A 19,021-nucleotide genomic window follows, 5' to 3' on the forward strand; every position below is an offset into this window, starting at 1 on the left:
AGCTGGGCATGTTGGCATGTGCCTGTAGTCCCAGCTCCTCAGAAGGCTGAGGCAGGAGGATCGCCGAGGCTAGGAGTTTGAGGCCACAGTGTGCTACGATCGCACCTGTGAATAGCCACTGCACTCCAGCCTGGGCAACACAGCAAGACCCCATCTCTAAAAAAACAAAACACAGGAAACCTGTATTGTAGACCAGCTTATTAAAACAGAAAGAAAATAACCAGGTGTGGTGGCACATGCCTGTAATCCCAGCTACTCGGGAGGCTGAGACAGGAGAATCGCTTGAACCTGTGAGGCAGAGGTTGCAGTGAGCCGAGATCGTGCCATTGCACTCTAGCCTGGGCAACAGAGTAAGACTCTGTCTCAAAAAAAAAAAAAAGGAAAAAATATGAATAATAAAAAATTGTAGCAATTATCACTAGGGCTTCTCAGTGAGAATCAGTGAGAAACTCCAAAGGTTCTGAGGCTGTAAAGTATATTCCCAACCACCTTTAGGGTCAAAGTTGGGACAAGATGAACTAACTGTAAATAAGGCTTGTTGAGTGAGAGGACTTCTCAACCAATCCAACCCAGGATCTACCAGACAAGCACTTCCTGAAGGTAATGTGGTTCAGGGGTGATCTCCTGGGTCAGGCAGATCTGGGTCTGAATTCCAGCTTCGGTTACTCCTCAGGGAGTAACCGAAGCTGGATCCGCCCGCCTTGGCCTCCCAAAGTGCTGGGATTACAGGTGTGAGCCATCAAGCACCCAGCCGGTTTTTTTTTTTTTTTTTTTTTTGAGATGGAGTCTTGCTGTGTCTCCCAGGCTGGAGTGCAGTGGCGCAATCTCAGTTCACTGCAACCTCTGCCTCCCGGGTTCAAGCGATTCTCCTACCTCAGCCTCCTGAGTAGCTGGGATTATAGGCATGCGCCACCATGCCCAGATAACTTTTGTATTTTTGGTAAAGATGGGGTTTCACCACGTTGGTCAGGCTGGTCTCGAACTCCTGACCTTATGACCCACCCGCCTTGGCCTCCCAAAGTGATTGGATTACAGGCGTGAGCCATCATGCCCGGCCTCGTTTCTTCATCTTTCAAATAGGAAAAACACAGTGTGAGGTGTGATGAAGAACTCAGGCTTGGATTCAGGTCTTGCATCATTCTACTCCTTGCTCAGCCATGGACTAGCTGTGTGAGCTGAGATGAGGAGCTTCACCTCTGTGAGCCTTGGCTGCCTATTCCAATGCGTGTTGGCGTCATTCTGTTTCCTATAGTGGCTGGGGATTCCCTGGGACCATGTGTGTCTGCACTGTGGTCACTGTAGTTGGCAGGATGGAGGCAGTGTATAAAAATGTTTAGGAGCTTAGGCTCTGGAGTCAGACTGCAACAGGCCTAGTTCAAATTCCAGCTCTGACAATTACTCCCAGTGAGATCTTAGGAAAATCAGTTTCTTCTCTGAACCTGTTTTTGTTTTTTTGTTTTGTTTTGTTTGAGACGGAGTCTTGCTCTGTTGCCCAGGCTTGAGTGCAGTGGCGCGATCTCGGCTCACTGCAACCTCTGCCAGGTTCAAGTGATTCTCCTGCCTCAGCCTCCCCAGTAGCTGGGATCACAGGCATGTGCCACCATGCCCAGCTAATTTTTTTTGTATTTTTAGTAGAGACAGGGTTTCACCATGTTGGCCAGGCTGGTCTCGAACTCCTGGCCTCAAAGGATCCACCCGCCTCATCCTCCCAAAGTGCTGGGATTACAGGCATGAGCCACTGTGCCAGGCCAAACCTCAGTTTTTGTATCTGTCAAATGAGAATAATAACAGTAAATATCCGATAGAGTTTACTATGAAGAGTCAATCTGATGATGTAGGTAAAGCACTTAAAACTGGTCTGGGGCCTGGCACAGTGGCTCGTGCCTGTAATCCCAGTACTTTGGGAGTCCAAAGCAGGAGGATCCCTTGAGCCCAGGAGTTTAAGTCCAGCCTGAGCAACATAGTGAGACCATCTCTACAAAATAATAATAATAAATAATAAATTAATTAATTAGTGATGCATGGTGTTGTGCACCTGTAGTCCCAGCGACTTGGGAGGCTAATGTGGGAGGATCCTTTGACCCCAGGAGGTCAAGGCTGCAGTGAGCCATGATCCTGCCACTGTGCTCTAGCCTGGGCAAGAGAGCAAGACCCTATCTCAAAAAAAAAAAAAAAAGCAAAGATATTATGAGACTGATTTTTTAAATACCTTTCTCTAGGCCAGGTGCAGTAGCTCACGCCTGTAATCCCAGCACTATGTGAGGCCGAGGCAGGAGGATCACTTGAAGTCAGGAGTTCGAGACCAGCCTGGCCAACATGGTGAAACCCCGTCTCTACTAAAAATACAAAAATTAGCCGGGCATGGTGGCAGGTGGCTGTAATCCCAGCTACTCGGGAGGCTGAGACAGGAGGATGGCTTGAACCCCGGGAGGTGGAGATTGCAGAGAGCTGAGATCGCACAACTGCACTCCAGCCTGGGCGACAGAGCAAGACTCTGTCTCAAAAATAAATAAATAAATAAATAAATAAATAAAATACCTTTTTGTACATGTCAGTCCATTTTCCCAAAACCAGGGCCAATGTGATCAGACCCCATCCCCATCTACAAAATCAATCCTACTTAATCATAGTGTAGCTTGAAGGTTGGGCTCTCACCACAGCAGGGTTCGAGTTCCAGCAATGCCCGTAACTGCTGCGGGACCCTAAATAAACGACTTCACCTCTTTGACCCTCAGAGGTTAACCTGGCATAGTAATCGCCTCCCTCACGGGGTTATTTAGGTTTCAACGAGTTGATGCACAAGCGTGGCACATGGAAAGGGCTCGGTAAACACGAGGTGCTATTACTCCCACCACAGTGCCAGTCCTTCTCCCTTTTTTACTTTATTTTTTATTTTTATTTTTTGAGATGGAGTCTTGCTCTGTCGCCCAGGCTGGAGCGTAGTGGCGCCATCTCCGCTCACTGTAACTTCCGCCTCTCGGGTTCAAGCAATTCACCTGCCTGGGCCTCCCGAGTAGCTGGGGTTACAGGCATCCCCCACCACGCCCGGCTAATTTTTGTATTTTTAGTAGAGACGGGGTTTCACCATATTGGTCAGGCTGGTCTCGAACTCCTGACCTCAGGTGATCTGCCCGCCTTAGCCTCCCAAAGTGCTGGGATTACAGGCGTGAGCCACCACGTCCGGCCCCTTCCCCCATTTTAGCGGTTTCGCTCCCTATCGGGGCCAGGGACGCCTCAGGCTGTCTCGGTCAGGACCTACAGCTCCGGTTGTTGTCCCAGGCTCTTCCGCGAGGTGCTCTCCTGTCTCCTGACCACCCCCATTCCTCCCCACTCCAGCTCCTCAGCGAGCGGCTGCGAAGGACGCGCACAACAACACTCCGCGCAGCGGGAAGGTACCGAACTCGCATCGCAGCCTGAAACTGCTCAACTAAGCTCCCGCCCCGCTGCTCTCTGGTCAATCTAAAGCGAAGACGAGCCTTAGGGCCAATCAGAAGCGACAGCGGTGGAGTCATGCCCGCCTGCTTGAGGCGCCCTGGCGTCTCATTGGCTATGCTTGAGAACGAATCCCAGGCTAAGCCACTTAGAAAGGAGCGGAGCCAGCCAATCAGCGGTGCAACCGCCGCGGGGGCCGGGCCAGAAGCCCCGCAGACAAGCACCTCGGGAGACTGGCGAGGGGCGAGCTCGCAGCTTGTTAGCCCCGAAGCCCTGCCCAGGGGGAAACCCTGCTGGAGGGAGTCTAACCCCCGGGCCAGTTAATGTTGGGGCAGCGCAATCGGCCGTTCCCTCTGCGGTATGGTTGGAGGTGGGAGTGCTGACACGTCCGCGCGCAGTTACTCCTGGCTGAGCATACAGTCGAGGTGGCAGTGGGAATTGGAAGTGCAAGTGTCACGCTGCCAATCACGGGGCAAGGCACTGCCCCCCTCTTGTGTCTTTCCTGTCCCTGTACACTTCCAGGCTTCCAGGCGAGGCAGAGTGAGCTGTGCCAGCAATCGTGGTGGAGTGGGACAAGAGAGAAAAGGGAGCTGTTCACAGGCACCGAAGCCTGGCTGGCTCTTTTTTTTTTTGAGACGCCGTCTCGCTCTGTCTCCCAGGCTGGAGTGCAGTGGCGCGATATAGGCTCCCTGCAATCTCCGCCTCCCGGGGTTCAAGCGATTCCCCTGCCTCAGCCTGCCGAGTAGCTGGAATTACAGGCGCCCGCCACCACGCTCAGCTAATTTTTGTATTTTTAGTAGAGACGGGGTTTCACCATGTTGGTCATGCTGATCTCGAACTCCTGACCCCAGGTGATCCGCCCTCCTCGGCCTCCCAAAGTGCTGGGTTTTCAGGCGTGAGCCACCGTGCCCTGCCTGGCTGGCTCTTTTATTTTATTTTTATTTATTTATTAGAGACAGGGCCTCACTGTGTCGCCCAGGCTGCAGTGCAGTGGTGTGATCATAGCTCACTGCAGCCTCGACCTCCTGGGCTCAAGCGATCCTACTACCACCTGGACCTCTCAAAGCCCTGGGATTACGGGCATGAGCCACCGTGCCTGGCCTTGGCTTGCTCTTACGGGCCTCCCAGCCAATCAGGTGTGGCGGCAGCCTACACACCCCCTACACACCTCACAGATGGTAAAGGGTTGAGAGAAAGGTGACAGGGTTTGCAAATGGGAGCTACTTAGGGTGGCAAAATAGAAGCAAGAAAGGCAGGTCAGGCACGGTGTCTCACGGCTGTAGTTCCAGAATTTTGGGAGGCCCAGGTGGAAGGATTGCTTGAGCCCAGGAGTTCGAGGCTGCAGTGAGCTATGATTGCACCATTGCACCCCAGCACCGGCAACAGAGGGAGACCCCGTTCATAAAATAAAAATGAAATAATAATTTTTTAAAAAGCCGGGCGTGGTGGCTCACGCCTGTAATCCCAGCACTTTGGGAGGCCGAGGCGAGTGGATCACGAGGTCAGGAGATCGAGACCATCCTGGCTAACATGGTGAAACCCCATCTCTACTAAATGTACAAAAAATTAGCCGGGCGTGATGGCGGGCGCCTGTAGTCCCAGCTACTTGGGAGGCTAAGGCAGGAGAATGGTGTGAGCCCGGGAGTCGGAGCTTGCAGTGAGCAGAGATCGCGCCACTGCACTCCAGCCTGGGCGACAGAGCGAGACTCTGTCTCAAAAAAAAAAAAAAAAAAAAGGACAGTAGTACTCCTGAGCACTTGCTGAGGGAGCCTCCAGGGCTGTTCAGGTGAAGGAGAATCAGGGTCCAGTCTCTTCGTGGAGAGAGTGGGAAAAGGCAGACTCCACAGCAGATCAACGCTGGGGCCCGGCTGGAAATCAATGAAATCTCAGCCTAAGAGGCCTGAAGCCTATGGACCAATGAGACTCAAGGCTCTGCCCCTTCACAGCCAATCAGCTGCGGGTCCGAGGCAGACGCGCGGGAGTGGCGCTGTCCTAGGTGCCTCCCAGGCTGCCCAGCGTGCTCAGCTGGCCTGAGCGGGAGAATGCGGCCCGCGCTGCAGCCAATCAGCGTCCGCCTCAGGATCCAGGGGTGACCACGTGCGGGAGCGTTGCGTCCCTGGCCTCGCTCCATTCCCCACTTTTAACGGTCACTCGGCCTTAAGCCGTCCTGGGTGTATGTGAGGCTGAAAGGGAAGGAGGAACAGGGTCTGGGCCGGTGAGTGCCATAGTTTTTCTTACTTTACTTTCTTGGGCTTGGGCCCGGCCCAGGCAAATCTGGGGTATGGGGGCTTGACTGGACCTCGTTGATGATTGGGAAGTGCGGGTTGAGGGCTTTAGCCCTTGGGGCTTTCCTCTGCCTTTGAGAGGCTGGAAATGCAGCCTCCTGGCCACCTTTAGGCCTAGGTTTGGCAGAGGCTAAGCCAGCTTGCTCTCTGAGTTGGTCCACGGCCCCCGAGGCCAGCCTGAGTAGGAAGGGTGTTGTGGGGAAGTTGGAGGTCCTTAACTCTGCATGAGGTATGGCCTCCGGACAATGAGAGCTTATCAAGGGTCTCTGGACTGAGCCTGGATCCGGTGACTGAAAGGAGAGGCCTGTGGATCTCCAAAGGTTATGCAGGGGCTGGGCGCGGTGGCTCACGCCTGTAATCCCAGCACTTTGGGAGGCTGAGGCAGGTGGATCATTTGAGGTCAGGAGTTTGAGACCAGCCTGGCCAACATGGAGAAACCCTGTCTCTACGGGGTTTCTAAAAAAAATTACCTGGGCGTGGTGGCACACGTCCGTAATCCCAGCTACTCAGAAAGCTGAGGCAGGAGAATCGCTTGAACTCATTGAACTCAGGAGATGAACGTTGCAGTGAGCTGAGATCACGCCATTGCACTCCAGCCTGGGCGACAGAATGAGACCCTGTCTCAAGAAAAAAAATGAAAAGAAAAAAAAAGTTATGTAGGAAGTCACTGGCCAAGAGATGAAACTAGTGTGCACATGAAGGTTTCCTGGGGTCTTTGGAGCCAGCCTGGGCTGGGAGTGAATGTTCTGGACTCCAGGTTGAGATGTTCTTGGCAGATTTCCCAGTATGGAGTCCAGGTTGGATGATGTGGCCAAGAGGTTAGGCCAGTAATCCTCTGGAGATTCTAGGGAGAAGGATTCTGAATCCCAGCCGAGCTGTTTGCGCTGGATGAAGTATTATTGCCTTGTGGTGGCTCTGTACAGAACTGGGATTGGGTGGCCAGGCGTGGTGGCTCACACCTGTAATCCCAGCACTTTGGGAGGCTGAGGTGGGTGGATCACCAGGTCAGGAGCTCGAGACCAGCCTGACCAACATGGTGAAACCCTGTCTCTACTAAAAATACAAAAATTAGCCAGGTGTGGTGGCAGGTGCCTGTAATCCCAGCTACTCAGGAGTCTGAGGCAGGAGAATCCCTTGAACCCACGAGGCGGAGGTTGCAGTGAGCAGAGATCGCACCACTGCACTCCAGCCTGGGCAACAGAGCAATGCTCTGTCTCAAAAAAAAAAAATTAATTAAAAAAAAAAAAAAGCAGGGCCAGGCGTGGGGGCTCACATCTATAATCCCAGCACTTTGAGAGGCCAAGGCGGGCGGATTACCTGAGGTCAGAAGTTTGAGACCAGCATGACCAACATGGAGAAACCCCATCTCTACTAAAAATACAAAATTAGCTGGGCGTGGTGGCACATGCCTGTAATCCCAGCTACTAGGGAGGCTGAGGCAGGAGAATCGCTTGTACCTGGGAGGCGGAGGTTGCGGTGAGCCGAGATCGTGCCATTGCACTCCAGCCTGGGCAACAAGAGCGAAACTCCATCTCAAAAAAAAAAAAAAAACTGGAATTGGGTCATGTCTGGAGCTTTTCATTCTCCCTGTCCCACTCTTTCCCATGCCTGTTCTGATAATTCCTAGAAGATGAAGATATCAGGCTGTAGGTGCGGGGCAGGTGCATGGGGAGGATGAACATCGTAGTGGAGCACAGGAAGAGGTGTGTGAGATATTCTCCTCTTTAGGAAATCACCCAGGTTTTTGGCAGGGCGTGGTGGCTCACACCTGTAATCCTAGCACTTTGGGAGGCCGAGGCAGGTGGATCACCTGAGGTCAGGAGTTCAAGACCAGCCTGGCCAACGTGGTGAAACCCCATCTCTACTAAAAATGCAAAAAATTAGCCGGGCATGGTAGATGCCTGTAATCCCAGCTACTTAGGAGCCTGAGGTAGGAGAATCACTTGAACCCAGGAGGCAGAGGTTGCAGTGAGCCGAGATCGCGCCACTGCACTCCAGCCTGGGCAACAAGGGCAAAACTCTGTCTCAAAAATAAATAAGTAAATAACATAAAGGAAATCACCCAGGTTGTCTTTACTGATGATCTTTTTTATACTCATGGGGCAGGGTGTTGATACCTAGTTTCATTCAGCTGTTCAGTGGTATTTATGCTTTCGGAGTGCCTTCAGTACACCCAGAGTTCTTTAACCAGGGGTGAGGGTGCAAGGAGTGGCTTATGAGTGGACTTCAAGGAAGTCTAACCCCGAAACCAGTTAATATTGGGGCAGCTCAATTGGCCATTCCCTCTATGGTGTGGTGGGGGCCCGGGGTGCTGGCACATGAAGTGTGCAGTTAATCCCAGCTCGGCAGACAGCCACCAAGCATGATGGCACATGCCTGTAATCCCAGCTACTCAGGAGGCTGAGATAGGGGGATGACTTGAGCCCAGGATGTCAAGACTGCAGTGAGCCATGATTGTGCCACTGCACTCCAGGCTGGGTGACAGAGCAAGACTGTGTCTCTAAAAAAAAAAAAAAAAAAAAAGAACAATTAATGGTATGCATGTATATTATGAGGAGGGGAGGGTAAAGAATAAGCTAGACGATAGTTAACCTCTCCAGCCATGAGGCTCAGAGTAATCTGTCAATCTCTTGTCATGCATTCATATGCCAAGTGGTATAAGTGTCTACCATTTTCTTTTTTTTTTTTTTTTTCGAGATGGAGTCTTAGCTCTGTTACCAGGCTGGAGTGCAGTGGTGTGATCTTGGCTCACTGCAACCTCCGCCTCCCGGGTTTAAGCAATTCTCCTGCCTCAGCCTCCCAAGTAGCTGGGATTACAGGCACGTGCCACCACGCCCAGCTAATTTTTGTATTTTTAGTAGAGACGGCATTTCACCATGTTGGCCAGGACGGTCTCTATCTCTTCACCTTGTGATCCGCCCACCTCGGCCTCCCAAAGTGCTGGGATTACAGGCGTGAGCCACCGCACCCGGCCTGTGTCTACCATTTTCTAATGTCAACAATTGGTCCCAGGCTGGGTGGCTCACACTTGTAATCCCTGCACTCTGGGAGGCTGAGGCGGGTGGATCACTTGAGGTCAGAAGTTTGAGACCAGCCTGGCCAACATGGTAAAACCTCATCTCTACTAAAAATACAAAAATTAGCCGGGTGTCGTGGTGCGTGCCTGTAGTCCCAGCTACTCAGGAGGCTGAGGCAGGAGAATCTCTTGAACCTGGGAGGCAGAGGTTGCACTGAGCCAAGATCGTGCCACTGCACTCCAGTCTGGGTGACAGAAGGAGACTCTGTCTCAATAAAAAGAAGAGTTAGTCCCATGGGTGACATTCTGAACCTGATGGTGACTCCCTAAGAGATTTAGAACCATTGGAATAAAGTAGGTTCCTATATTATTTATGGGGCCTGGGCAAGATGACAGAGACTCCCTCGTCTCTTCCCATGCCTGGTGTTGGCCCATACTTCAAGGTGTCTCACATTCTAGCCTGCACATCCAAGCTCAGTCTACAAATCCCTTACACAAAATCAGGGTCTAGCGTGTGTGTACATCAGTCAGAGTCCACTCTCATGAATACAGGCCTGGGGTTGAGTCCTGTGTAGGGGGCCTCAGAGTCATTTGGTCCAGGAAATCCAGGGTGCTGAGTTCTCAGAGCATGGTCCAGAAGTGAGGTGGGAGCTCACAGTTCCGGGTAGGCACTTTCTAGATGCCTTTTGACTCAGCCTATGCGAAGGGATACAGCCAGAGGAGGTCCAAATGGGACCCTTTGCCCAGGTTTAAGTCAACACTAGTATTCTGTACTGGTCTTGAAACAGCCCCTGTGAGGAAATTGAGGGTCTTGGAAGACTTAGCTCCATATGAGTGCTGAAGAGAAGGGCCATTCACTGTGAAGGGATGCAGTGAAACCTGTTTTCCAACTTCTAGTCTAGTTCTTTTTCCAGTTAATCCACAAAGTGTGTGCTATGAAGGGGCTAGATTCAGCTCACCTGGGTATGACTATAGCTGGTTCTTGGATCATATAGAGCACAAATTTAAGGGAAAAAGGGAACTAATTCACTCCTTGTGGTGACTCTTTTCTGGAAGTCTTGGATGTACTTAACCAGAAAGACGGAACATCTTTTTTTTCTTTTTTCTTTTTTCTTTTTTTTTTTTTGAGACAGAGTTTCGCTCTTGTTGCTCAGGCTAGAGTGCAATGGCGCGATCTCGGCTCACCGCAACCTCCACCTCCCGGGTTGAAGCGATTCTCCTGCCTCAGCCTCTCGAGTAGCTGGAATTACAGGCATGTGCCGCCACGCCCAGCTAATTTTTTTTATTTTTTGTAGAGACAGGGTTTCTCCATGTTGGTCAGGCTGGTCTTGAACTCCCGACCTCAGATGATCCGCTTGCCTCCACCTCCCAGAGTGCTGGGATTACAGGTGTGAGCCACTGCGCCTGGCGAAAGAGTAAACATACTTAAAGTTCATGTAAGATTTGGATAATCGCTCTTAATCTATATAAAATGCTGTGGGGAATTTAACCACCTTCATTTGTGGAAAGAGATGGGTTCACGGGAAGAGTGGCGAGTTCACAGAATTTTTCTAAATTGAATCTTGTTCAACTTGGCTTGGGAAGAGGGCTTGATATTTAAAATAAGTGAAATAGAGGGAGAACTTTTTCACAAAACAAATGATCATCCCTCCCATTGGTCTATTCTGATGGTTTGATTTTAATTATAATATTTAAGGAGAATTGGTATTTGTGTTGCTGTGTTGACATTGTTACATCAAGCTGGGTTGTGCCTCAAGAAGTTCATGATACAAGGATTTCTGGGAAGCTTTGACTTTGCAGCCAGGGTGTGCCCCGAGCCCCTTGCACATTTTTCCCTTAGTGTCCCATTGGTCAAGTCTACCAGTAAGAATAAGAACTATCAGATTTCAGGCCAGGCGTGGTGCCTCATGCCTGTATCACAGCATTTTGGGATGCCAAGGCGGGCAGATCATGAGGTCAGGAGTTCGAGACCAGCCTGGCCAACATGGTGAAACCCTGTCTCTACTAAAAATACAAAAAATTAGCCGGGTTTGGTGATGCACACCTGTGATCCCAGCTACTCGGGAGGCTGAGGCAGGAGAATCACTTGAACCCAGGAGGCGGAGGTTACAGTGAGCCGAGATTGCGCCACTGCACTCCAGCCTGGGCAATAGAGCAAGACTCTGTCTCAAAAAAAAAAAAATCAGATTTCAAATTTTATTCAGTAATACGAGTATTAGGCCGGGCATGTAGGCTCACGCCTGTAATCCCAGCACTTTGTGAAGCCGAGGTGGGTGGATCACCTGACATCAAGAATTTGAGACCAGCCTGGCCAACATGGTGAAACACCATCTCTAATAAAAATACAAAAAATTAGTCAGGCATGGTAGCAGTTGCCTGTAATCCCAGCTACTTGGGAGGCTGAGGCAGGAGAATTGCTTGAACCGGGAGGCGGAGGTTGCAGTGAGCCAAGATAGCGCCATTGTACTCCAGCCTGGGCAACAAGAGTGAAACTCTGTCTCAAAAAAAAAAAGAAAGTAATATAAGTATTAAAAAGGACTGAGAGGCTGATATCATATTGCCTTTTATCACATACTCCCCTTCCAATCATGCCCTACCTAATCTCTCTACCTGCTCTACCCTCTGGCAGGACACAGGCTTGTGTCTGCATAACCTGTTGTTTCTTTGCTCTTTCCAGAGAGACAACTGCAGATGATTCCTACCGAGTCAGCCCAGGAAGAGGAAGGGGGGGCAAGGTTTTTGAGTCTAGGGAGGGGGAGTACTTTTAAGAACAGCAACAGACCAGGCATGGTGGCTCACACCTGTAATCCCAGCAGTGGATCACCTGAGGTTAGGAGTTCGAGACCAGCCTGGCTAACATGGTGAAACCCCATCTCTACTAAAAATACAAAAAAATTAGCCGGGTGTGATGGTGCATGCCCGTAACCCCAGATACTTGGAAGGCTGAGGCACAAGAGTCGCTTGAACCCAGAGGCAGAGGTTGCAGTGAGCCGAGATGGCGCCACTGCACTCCAGCTTGGGTGACAGAACAAGACTCTGTCTCAAAATAAAAACAAAACAGCACCAGCAGTGTCCCTACTCTTCCAAGTCAAAGTGCTGTCTGCTTCTGCCATCTGTGCTCAGTGCAGGATGGCTTGGGTTGCACTGTCAAGAATGCAGGAAGAGGCTAGAGAAGTGCTCAGGGTGTCATCAGCATAAGGGTTGCAGTGCAAAGGGCCCTGGAGATAATTCTAGGAGGCGGTCTCTAAGGGGATATCCTTAGGTGGGGTTCCCCATTCTTGGGGGCTTTTGTTCACTGAAAGGGGAGTTCCCTTGCCCCTCCTCCCTTTTAGGTTCCCCGAAAGCCCACTGATGCTCCCTGTCAACTATATTTGGCTTACACAGAATGCTGCCCTTTGAGCAGTCTCCAACTCTCTCGATCATCAATGAGCAAACCAGCGGGGGAGCTGAGTCACAAGCACATGATGTGGGGCTGGAAAGCGAGGGGGCCACACTCAGAGGGGTGACCATGTAATCGTCCAGACCCCTGTACCTTTCCTCATCCCTGGGGCTAGTCCCTCAGGGCTTTCCGCACTCCTTCCTTGTCTTGAGGGACTCTGTATTTCTGTGTTGGAGGAAGGGTGTTTCCCTCTGCGTACATACATATCAGAGGGACTGATGCTTTATGTGTCTTTTATATGGGTGTGGTGGTGTGAGGAATTGGAAAGCTCAGAAATGGAAAATAGTTAACGTTCAGAGTAGCAGATGAACACAGCTCTCACATTTGCATTTTCCCTTTCGTTCTGACTCATCTTCCCCTCTCCCCACCCTGTTGCCCCTCCACCAGCCTCACCCATTGACACACCCTGTCTGATCTAGGAAGGGTTAACATGTGCCTGCACCCATGTGGAGGGAAGGCGTGGTAGGCCTGGAAAGAGAGAGTGGGAGGCTGGTCTGAACATTCGAGGGTCCTGGAGCCAAAGGAAGAAACGGGAGCTTAGGGACAGTATTTGCATCTAGGAGGGGACAAGGACTCTTAGATCCTTCCCCCTTAAGAGAAGCCTATGGGAGGCCGGGCGCAATCCCAGCACTTTGGGAGGCCGAGGTGGGTGGCTCACTTGACATCAGGAATTCGAGACCAGCCTGGCCAACATGGCGAAACCCTGTCACTACTAAAAGTACAAAAATTAGCCGGGCGTGGTGGCGGGCGCCTGTAATCCCAGCTACTCGGGAGGCTGAGGCAGGAGAATCGCTTGAACCTGGGAGGCAGAGGTCGCAGTGAGCTGAGATTGCGCCACTGCACTCCAGTCTGGGAGACAGAGCGAGACTGCGTCTCAAAAAAAAAAAAAAAAAAAAAAAAAAAAGAGAAGCCTATGGGGAAGCCGACTGTGCCTTGTCACCAGAGCAGCTTACCAGTACCTGACTTGTTTATCTTCCAGTCATTTACTGTGTATCTAATATACGCCAGGCACATATCATAAATGCTTTATCCGCTGGGCGCAGTGGCTCACGCCTATAATCCCAGCACTTCGGGAGGCCAAGGCAGGCGGATCATTTGAGCCCAAGAGTTCAAGACCAGCCTGGGTAACATAGTGAGACCCCTGTCTCTACCAAAAATTCAAAATTAGCTAGGCATGGTGGCTCAAACCTGTAGTCCCAGCTACTCAACAGGCTGAGGTGGGAGGATCATGTGAGCCCAGGAAGCTAAGGCTGCAGTGAGCCGTGATCGTACCACTGGGCAACAGAGCAAGACCCCGTCTCAAAATAAACATGTCATCAAAATTTGTTGGATAAATGAAAATTTTGCTATAGGATCAGGGATAAGAGAATAATAAGAAACAGAAAAAGAAAGTTGAGCCTCTAAGACCCCATCCCTTCCCCAGATTAAAGAGTTCTGAAGTGTGAAAAGAGGGGAAACCTCCGGGGACCTTGACCCCTTGGGCAGGAAGTGAAAGAAACCCAAGTCCTGATTTCAGAGAAATGTCATTTGTCATCAGCCCAAGAAAAGGAGATTTTTCTCTTCGAAGACCACCACACGTCCTTCCTGGGGTTGCCCCTTTCAGAGCTTGATGGGAGGATCTGAGTCACTCACACACCCACCCCCAGGTCATTCCCAGGCAGCAAATGAGGCTTCCCAGTACCAAGTCAGGGAGAGGGAGGAGGCCAGCTTCTGGCTCCTCCACCCTATTCTTGGGATCCAAATGTTTCAATCCTTTTTACTTCTGCAGCTGTGTGCTCTGCCGTCATCTCTAAGAAACAACCATACCACTGAATGCTACTGTGTACTTACAAACCACACTCATATTCGTCACGTCATTTCATCTTCACCCCCACCTCCAAATGAGGTAAGCAGATATTATGCCTATTTCATGAATGAGGTTACTGAGGCCCAGAGAAGTGACTTGCCCAAGGTGACTCAAATAGTAAATGGCAGAGATGAAACTCAAAGGCAGGGCTGATTATTCCAAGGTCCTTGCTGCCACAGATACACTTCTTTGACTCTAGGAGTTCACAAACGAAGTGAGGAGACAGGAGGCTAGGGGCAGAATGTGTGCATTCTGGAGGTAGAGGGGGTGGTCTCTCCTGCAGGCAGAAGGCAGAGGCAGGGTTAGAAAACCACACCCCTTCGGGGGGACTGTGGCAGACTGATACTTGGGACATCCAATGGAGGCCTGTGAGGTCAGGGGCGGGGCTAGCTCCAGGGGGGGCCCCAGGAGCCCCAACAGTAGTTCAGAGCATGCGGTGTCCTGGAAGAAGCTACAAGCGGTGAGTGATAGCCTCTCTCCAGCTGAGGCCTTCTTCCCATCACAACTCTTTCTGTCTCCTCCCTGCCAACCTAGAGCCCTCTCCCTGAGGTGTCCAAGTGCAGCCCTCCCTGCCCCAAGGGCCCTTGCTCACAGGGAACCTGCACCTAGGACTCTGCCTGCTGGGTGCTAAGACACTGAGGTTCTGGTTCTCTTCGTATCTGGGTTCCCAGCTCTCTTCTTAAAAGCCAATGTGGTGGTTTTGATGTGTGAGAAACTCCTGCCTGGTTGGGTGCTGTCTTTCTATTCTTCACTTTTTGTCTTATGAAAAACAAATTAAACCATCTCCTTACCCAAATCTTGAGAGGAAACAGCCTCCCTGTCTCCAGTCCCCACGTCCTTTCCTCCCATCTCCTCAGGAGTCCATTCTCCAAAAGGTCTCTCCATCATTGGGTCAGGAGCCTCCTCTCCTGTGGCTTCTGCACCTGCTCTCCTCTTTCTCTGGATGGGAATGTCTGGTTCCTTCCCTGAGGATGTGTTCTAGAAGCTTCAGCTTCACAGTGATGACTGCCGGATGCCTTAGCGCCTGCGCTCCTGCAGCCAGGATCCCTATCATGCTGCCCTCTCTGCCTTTCAGGAGCGATGGGCTTTTGGGGGAGGACCCACTAGCTTTCTAAGCTCTCCCGTGAAACTGTGTCATGCTCCATCCCTTAGTGCCGGCGTTGACTGGGTTTTGTGGTGATCCTTGTCTGGAATGAAGAAAGCCTGGCTTGCGCAGAGGTGTTTCCCTGCAGAGGGGCTTGGAGAAGCAGAAGTGGCAGTATCTGCTATCTTTTACGTCAGAGACTGCCAACTGGCAGACTTCCCGCACGCCTGTCTTAAACCCACTACTAGATATTTCTGTTAACTGACTGGCCCTTGCTCTTTAAGTCCTGAATTTGGTCTGATTTCCATTCTCTCGCCACCATGCCTACCTGCTATGATTCTGGATAAGCTCCAATCCTCTCTTGGGTTACTTTATTTGCTCACTCAGGACAGAGGGCTCTGATCTAGGACCAGCAACTCACACCCTCTCCCCTCACATCCACAGGCTTGAAATGAGATGAGATGTTCCTCCCTCCCCTTTCAACCATGGACCTCACACTGTGGACTTCCTCTTAGAGCCTCTGAGTTAGGTACCCAAGCCAAGGCACAATGTCCCTGCCCCCCATAAGACTGCCCAGCCCCTATGGCTCTGATCGGCTGGTACAGCTAGCAGCCAGGCTCCGGCCAGCACTCTGTGATACTCTGATCACCGTAGGGAGCCAGGAGTTCCCCGCCCACAGCCTGGTGCTAGCAGGTGTCAGCCAGCAGCTGGGCCGCAGGGGCCAGTGGGCTCTGGGAGAAGGCATCAGCCCTTCTACCTTTGCCCAGCTCCTGAACTTTGTGTATGGGGAGAGTGTAGAGCTGCAGCCTGGAGAGCTAAGGCCCCTTCAGGAGGCGGCCAGGGCCTTGGGAGTGCAGTCCCTGGAAGAGGCATGCTGGAGGGCTCGAGGGGACAGGGCTAAAAAGCCAGATCCAGGCCTGAAGAAACATCAGGAGGAGCCAGAGAAACCCTCAAGGAATCCTGAGAGAGAACTGGGGGACCCTGGAGAGAAGCAGAAACCAGAACAGGTTTCTAGAACTGGTGGGAGAGAACAGGAGATGTTGCACAAGCACTCGCCACCAAGAGGCAGACCCGAGATGGCAGGAGCAACGCAGGAGGCTCAGCAGGAACAGACCAGGTCAAAGGAGAAACGCCTCCAAGCCCCTGTTGGCCAAAGGGGAGCAGATGGGAAGCATGGAGTGCTCACGTGGTTGAGGGAAAATCCAGGGGGCTCTGAGGAAAGTCTGCGCAAGCTCCCTGGCCCCCTTCCCCCAGCAGGCTCCCTGCAAACCAGCGTCACCCCTAGGCCCTCGTGGGCTGAGGCCCCTTGGTTGGTGGGGGGCCAGCCTGCCCTGTGGAGCATCCTGCTGATGCCGCCCAGATATGGCATTCCCTTCTACCATAGCACCCCCACCACTGGAGCCTGGCAGGAGGTCTGGCGGGAACAGAGGTGAGTGGCGGGGTCTAGTGCTCTGCCTCCAGGCTGGGAGGGCATGGCCCAGGAGGGGCAGCCCTGCTGGGTGGAAGGGCACTGCATCTCTACTGCACAGTTCCTGAGCTGGGGAAGAGACAAGAAGCTGCTGCCACAGGGCACGCCAAAGCCCAGCCCCCGGGGGAGGACTTGGGATACCCCCTCTTCACGAAGGGGCCAGGCTCCCAGGTTTAGCCAAGGCTGTAACTCTTCCCCACCCCATCCCAGGATCCCACTGTCCCTAAATGCCCCCAAAGGGCTCTGGAGCCAGAACCAGTTGGCCTCCTCCAGCCCTACCCCAGGTAAGCCCCTCGCTGTCCTGCATACACCTGTAACATGGTGTCTTCTCTGGGCTGGGGCTCGAGGAGTCCAGCCTGAGCAGGGCCCCTACCTCCCACTGTTCCTTCCAGGTTCCCTCCCCCAGGGCCCCGCACAGCTCAGCCCTGGGGAGATGGAAGAGTCTGATCAGGGGCACACAGGTGAGTCGGGCGGGGGCACTCGTGCCTCAGCCCCACTGTAGCCCTTGATTTCCTGCCTGAATGGTACAGTGAGTTGGCGCTGGGATTCCTGGCCCTGCCCTCCTTTGCCTTCTCTGTCCCCACAGGCGCACTTGCAACCTGTGCGGGTCATGAGGACAAGGCAGGCTGCCCACCTCGCCCGCACCCTCCCCCGGCCCCTCCTGCTCGGTCTCGGCCCTATGCGTGCTCTGTCTGTGGAAAGAGGTTTTCACTCAAGCATCAGATGGAGACGCACTACCGAGTCCACACAGGTATGGGCGCCCTGCCCTGTGTGAACTGTCGGCTTTCTTCCCAACTCCGCTCCTGAGTCTCCACCTGTGTGCCCGGTTCCCGCGCAATCCCCTAGCCCCGTGGCCCGATCCACCCCTAACTTGGCCAGCTTTCGCCGCCTTCTTCCTTCCTTCACCGGCCTCCCCTTCCGACCGCTCTAGGAGAGAAGCCCTTCTCCTGTAGCCTTTGTCCTCAGCGCTCCCGGGACTTCTCGGCCATGACCAAGCACCTGCGGACACACGGGGCCGCTCCGTACCGCTGCTCCCTGTGCGGGGCCGGCTGTCCCAGCCTGGCCTCCATGCAGGCGCACATGCGCGGTCACTCGCCCAGCCAACTCCCGCCCGGATGGACCATCCGCTCCACCTTCCTCTACTCCTCCTCGAGGCCGTCTCGGCCCTCGACCTCTCCCTGTTGTCCTTCTTCCTCCACCACCTGACGGGGTGTCGGTAGCGTCTTAGCCAAGAGTCCAATTAAAGAACGAAAAGCGGGCCGGCTCGGCTTCTGACCTGGCACCGCTGCTACGGCGGCCTAGCAAATTCCGCCCCAGAAGCGCCCCAGGAAGGGCGCCGAGTGCCCTCTCCTGGACGATCGCGGGTCGCAGAAGCCCAGGCCAGCGAGCCCTACAGAGTGAGGACACTGAAGTGTGCAGGAGCGAAGGTTAACAGTAGGGGAGATTGTCGATCTCATCACCATAATAAAGAGTTTCCTGTGCCCTCCCTTCAGGACTAGAAAGCCGAGTTTAGTCTGTGCACACCCCCGCCCACGCCCCTTGTCCTGTAGCGGCCCCTGGTGGCCCTGCGTCCGCTGTCCAGCGGGATGGACACTTCTTCCACCCCCGAGGCGCCCCGTCCTCCCCAGGAGGCAGCCGGCCCCGAGGACTCGGTGTCCGGGCACACCTTGCGGCATGCCGGTCCTGGACTGGTGGGGGCTGTGCGACCGCAAGTCACTCGCCCCTTCCACTGCAATCCACGGCGCGCGGAGTCTGATCTGGGAACGCTCGGCCCGGGAGAGAGAGGAACGCGTGCTCCGACCCTGCTTTCGGCCACCCGCCTCCTCTCCGGGAGCACACGGACCCCGAGACCGCGGCCTCTCCGGCGTCTTCCCTCCACACCGTGCCAAGCCGCCGCCAGGTCGCGCCTGGAACGGAGACTGACTATGCTTTCCACCGCTCCTTCTCCAGCCCACGCCTCCTGCAGCCGCGAACTGCATTTCCCAGGGCCTCGGGGGTCCCGGGGCCCGAGCCCGCGGCACCCTGGGAGTGGTAGTCCACGCGGGCCGCCGGCCTAGCCAAGAACAATGGGAGGAGCCTGGGGCTAGGACCACACCTCCCGGAGACCCGGCAACCCGCTTTCCGGGTCCTGGCCGGGAACCCCGCCGTCCCGGCCCTCGCGCCCTGGCTGCCGGCGGAAGAAGCGAGGCGTCCGGACTACATTTCCCGGAGGCCCCCGCGGTTCGCCCCTCTGCGGCCGCGACGCGGGGGTCTGTGCTCCCCAGGTGCGGTCCGAGGGCGCCGGCCGGCCGCGGACTCCCTCTCCCGTGGTGCCCTGCGCGTGGCCGGCCCGGCCCCCGGTCTCCCGCGGCGGCGCTGGTTGTTGTCGTGCGCCGCGGCCGCCCCGCCCCGCCCCCGCTCTCTCCCCTCCCCCCGGCCCTGCGCACGGGCCGCCCCTCCCCCCGCCTCCCC

General features: G+C 53.7%; 1 protein-coding gene across 4 annotated transcripts, besides 7 other annotated features; it reads left to right on the forward strand.

Moving 5' to 3' along the window:
* Nucleotides 3,122–3,361: an enhancer, noted in NCBI's record as "active region_14492". NCBI's record gives its function as "activates an Ori minimal core promoter by ATAC-STARR-seq in GM12878 lymphoblastoid cells {active_cell/tissue: GM12878}" and the evidence as "EXISTENCE:reporter gene assay evidence [ECO:0000049][PMID:35858748]".
* Nucleotides 5,582–18,062, forward strand: ZBTB32 (zinc finger and BTB domain containing 32). 4 transcript variants are annotated; one of them, NM_014383.3, is made up of 7 exons: nucleotides 5,582–5,647; nucleotides 13,941–14,057; nucleotides 15,547–16,531; nucleotides 16,781–16,854; nucleotides 16,963–17,031; nucleotides 17,157–17,321; nucleotides 17,502–18,062. In NM_014383.3, the coding sequence occupies exons 3-7, from the start codon at nucleotides 15,651–15,653 to the stop codon at nucleotides 17,774–17,776; spliced, it is 1,464 nt and encodes a 487-aa protein (NP_055198.1). In that variant the 5' UTR covers nucleotides 5,582–5,647; nucleotides 13,941–14,057; nucleotides 15,547–15,650; the 3' UTR covers nucleotides 17,777–18,062. The 4 variants fall into 4 exon arrangements, with proteins under 4 accessions (NP_055198.1, NP_001303831.1, XP_016882080.1 ...); NM_001316902.2 differs by having other exon boundaries at nucleotides 16,487–16,531; XM_017026591.2 differs by having other exon boundaries at nucleotides 16,487–16,531; nucleotides 16,781–17,031.
* Nucleotides 12,164–12,633: an enhancer, noted in NCBI's record as "active region_14493". NCBI's record gives its function as "activates an Ori minimal core promoter by ATAC-STARR-seq in GM12878 lymphoblastoid cells {active_cell/tissue: GM12878}" and the evidence as "EXISTENCE:reporter gene assay evidence [ECO:0000049][PMID:35858748]".
* Nucleotides 14,452–14,531: an enhancer, noted in NCBI's record as "active region_14494". NCBI's record gives its function as "activates an Ori minimal core promoter by ATAC-STARR-seq in GM12878 lymphoblastoid cells {active_cell/tissue: GM12878}" and the evidence as "EXISTENCE:reporter gene assay evidence [ECO:0000049][PMID:35858748]".
* Nucleotides 15,642–15,841: a silencer, noted in NCBI's record as "silent region_10532". NCBI's record gives its function as "represses an Ori minimal core promoter by ATAC-STARR-seq in GM12878 lymphoblastoid cells {active_cell/tissue: GM12878}" and the evidence as "EXISTENCE:reporter gene assay evidence [ECO:0000049][PMID:35858748]".
* Nucleotides 17,580–18,139: an enhancer, noted in NCBI's record as "NANOG-H3K27ac hESC enhancer chr19:36207458-36208017 (GRCh37/hg19 assembly coordinates)". NCBI's record gives its function as "activates a minimal SCP1, AML or CMV promoter by ChIP-STARR-seq in primed H9 embryonic stem cells {active_cell/tissue: H9 hESC(primed)}" and the evidence as "EXISTENCE:reporter gene assay evidence [ECO:0000049][PMID:30033119]".
* Nucleotides 17,692–17,971: an enhancer, noted in NCBI's record as "active region_14495". NCBI's record gives its function as "activates an Ori minimal core promoter by ATAC-STARR-seq in GM12878 lymphoblastoid cells {active_cell/tissue: GM12878}" and the evidence as "EXISTENCE:reporter gene assay evidence [ECO:0000049][PMID:35858748]".
* Nucleotides 18,542–19,021: a silencer, noted in NCBI's record as "silent region_10533". NCBI's record gives its function as "represses an Ori minimal core promoter by ATAC-STARR-seq in GM12878 lymphoblastoid cells {active_cell/tissue: GM12878}" and the evidence as "EXISTENCE:reporter gene assay evidence [ECO:0000049][PMID:35858748]".

Source organism: Homo sapiens, chromosome 19 (genome assembly GCF_000001405.40).
Source record: "Homo sapiens chromosome 19, GRCh38.p14 Primary Assembly".
In the NCBI taxonomy this organism is placed as follows: Eukaryota; Metazoa; Chordata; class Mammalia; order Primates; family Hominidae; genus Homo; species Homo sapiens.

What these genes read in the sequence shown, in the direction of transcription:
- ZBTB32 (NM_014383.3), top strand. Translation starts at nt 15,651, where the DNA reads ATGTCCCTGCCCCCCATAAGACTGCCCAGCCCCTATGGCTCTGATCGG. An exon ending in CTCCTCCAGCCCTACCCCAG is followed by an intron (nt 16,855 to 16,962) that starts GTAAGCCCCTCG and finishes TGTTCCTTCCAG; the next exon opens with GTTCCCTCCCCCAGGGCCCC. An exon ending in GCACTACCGAGTCCACACAG is followed by an intron (nt 17,322 to 17,501) that starts GTATGGGCGCCC and finishes CGACCGCTCTAG; the next exon opens with GAGAGAAGCCCTTCTCCTGT.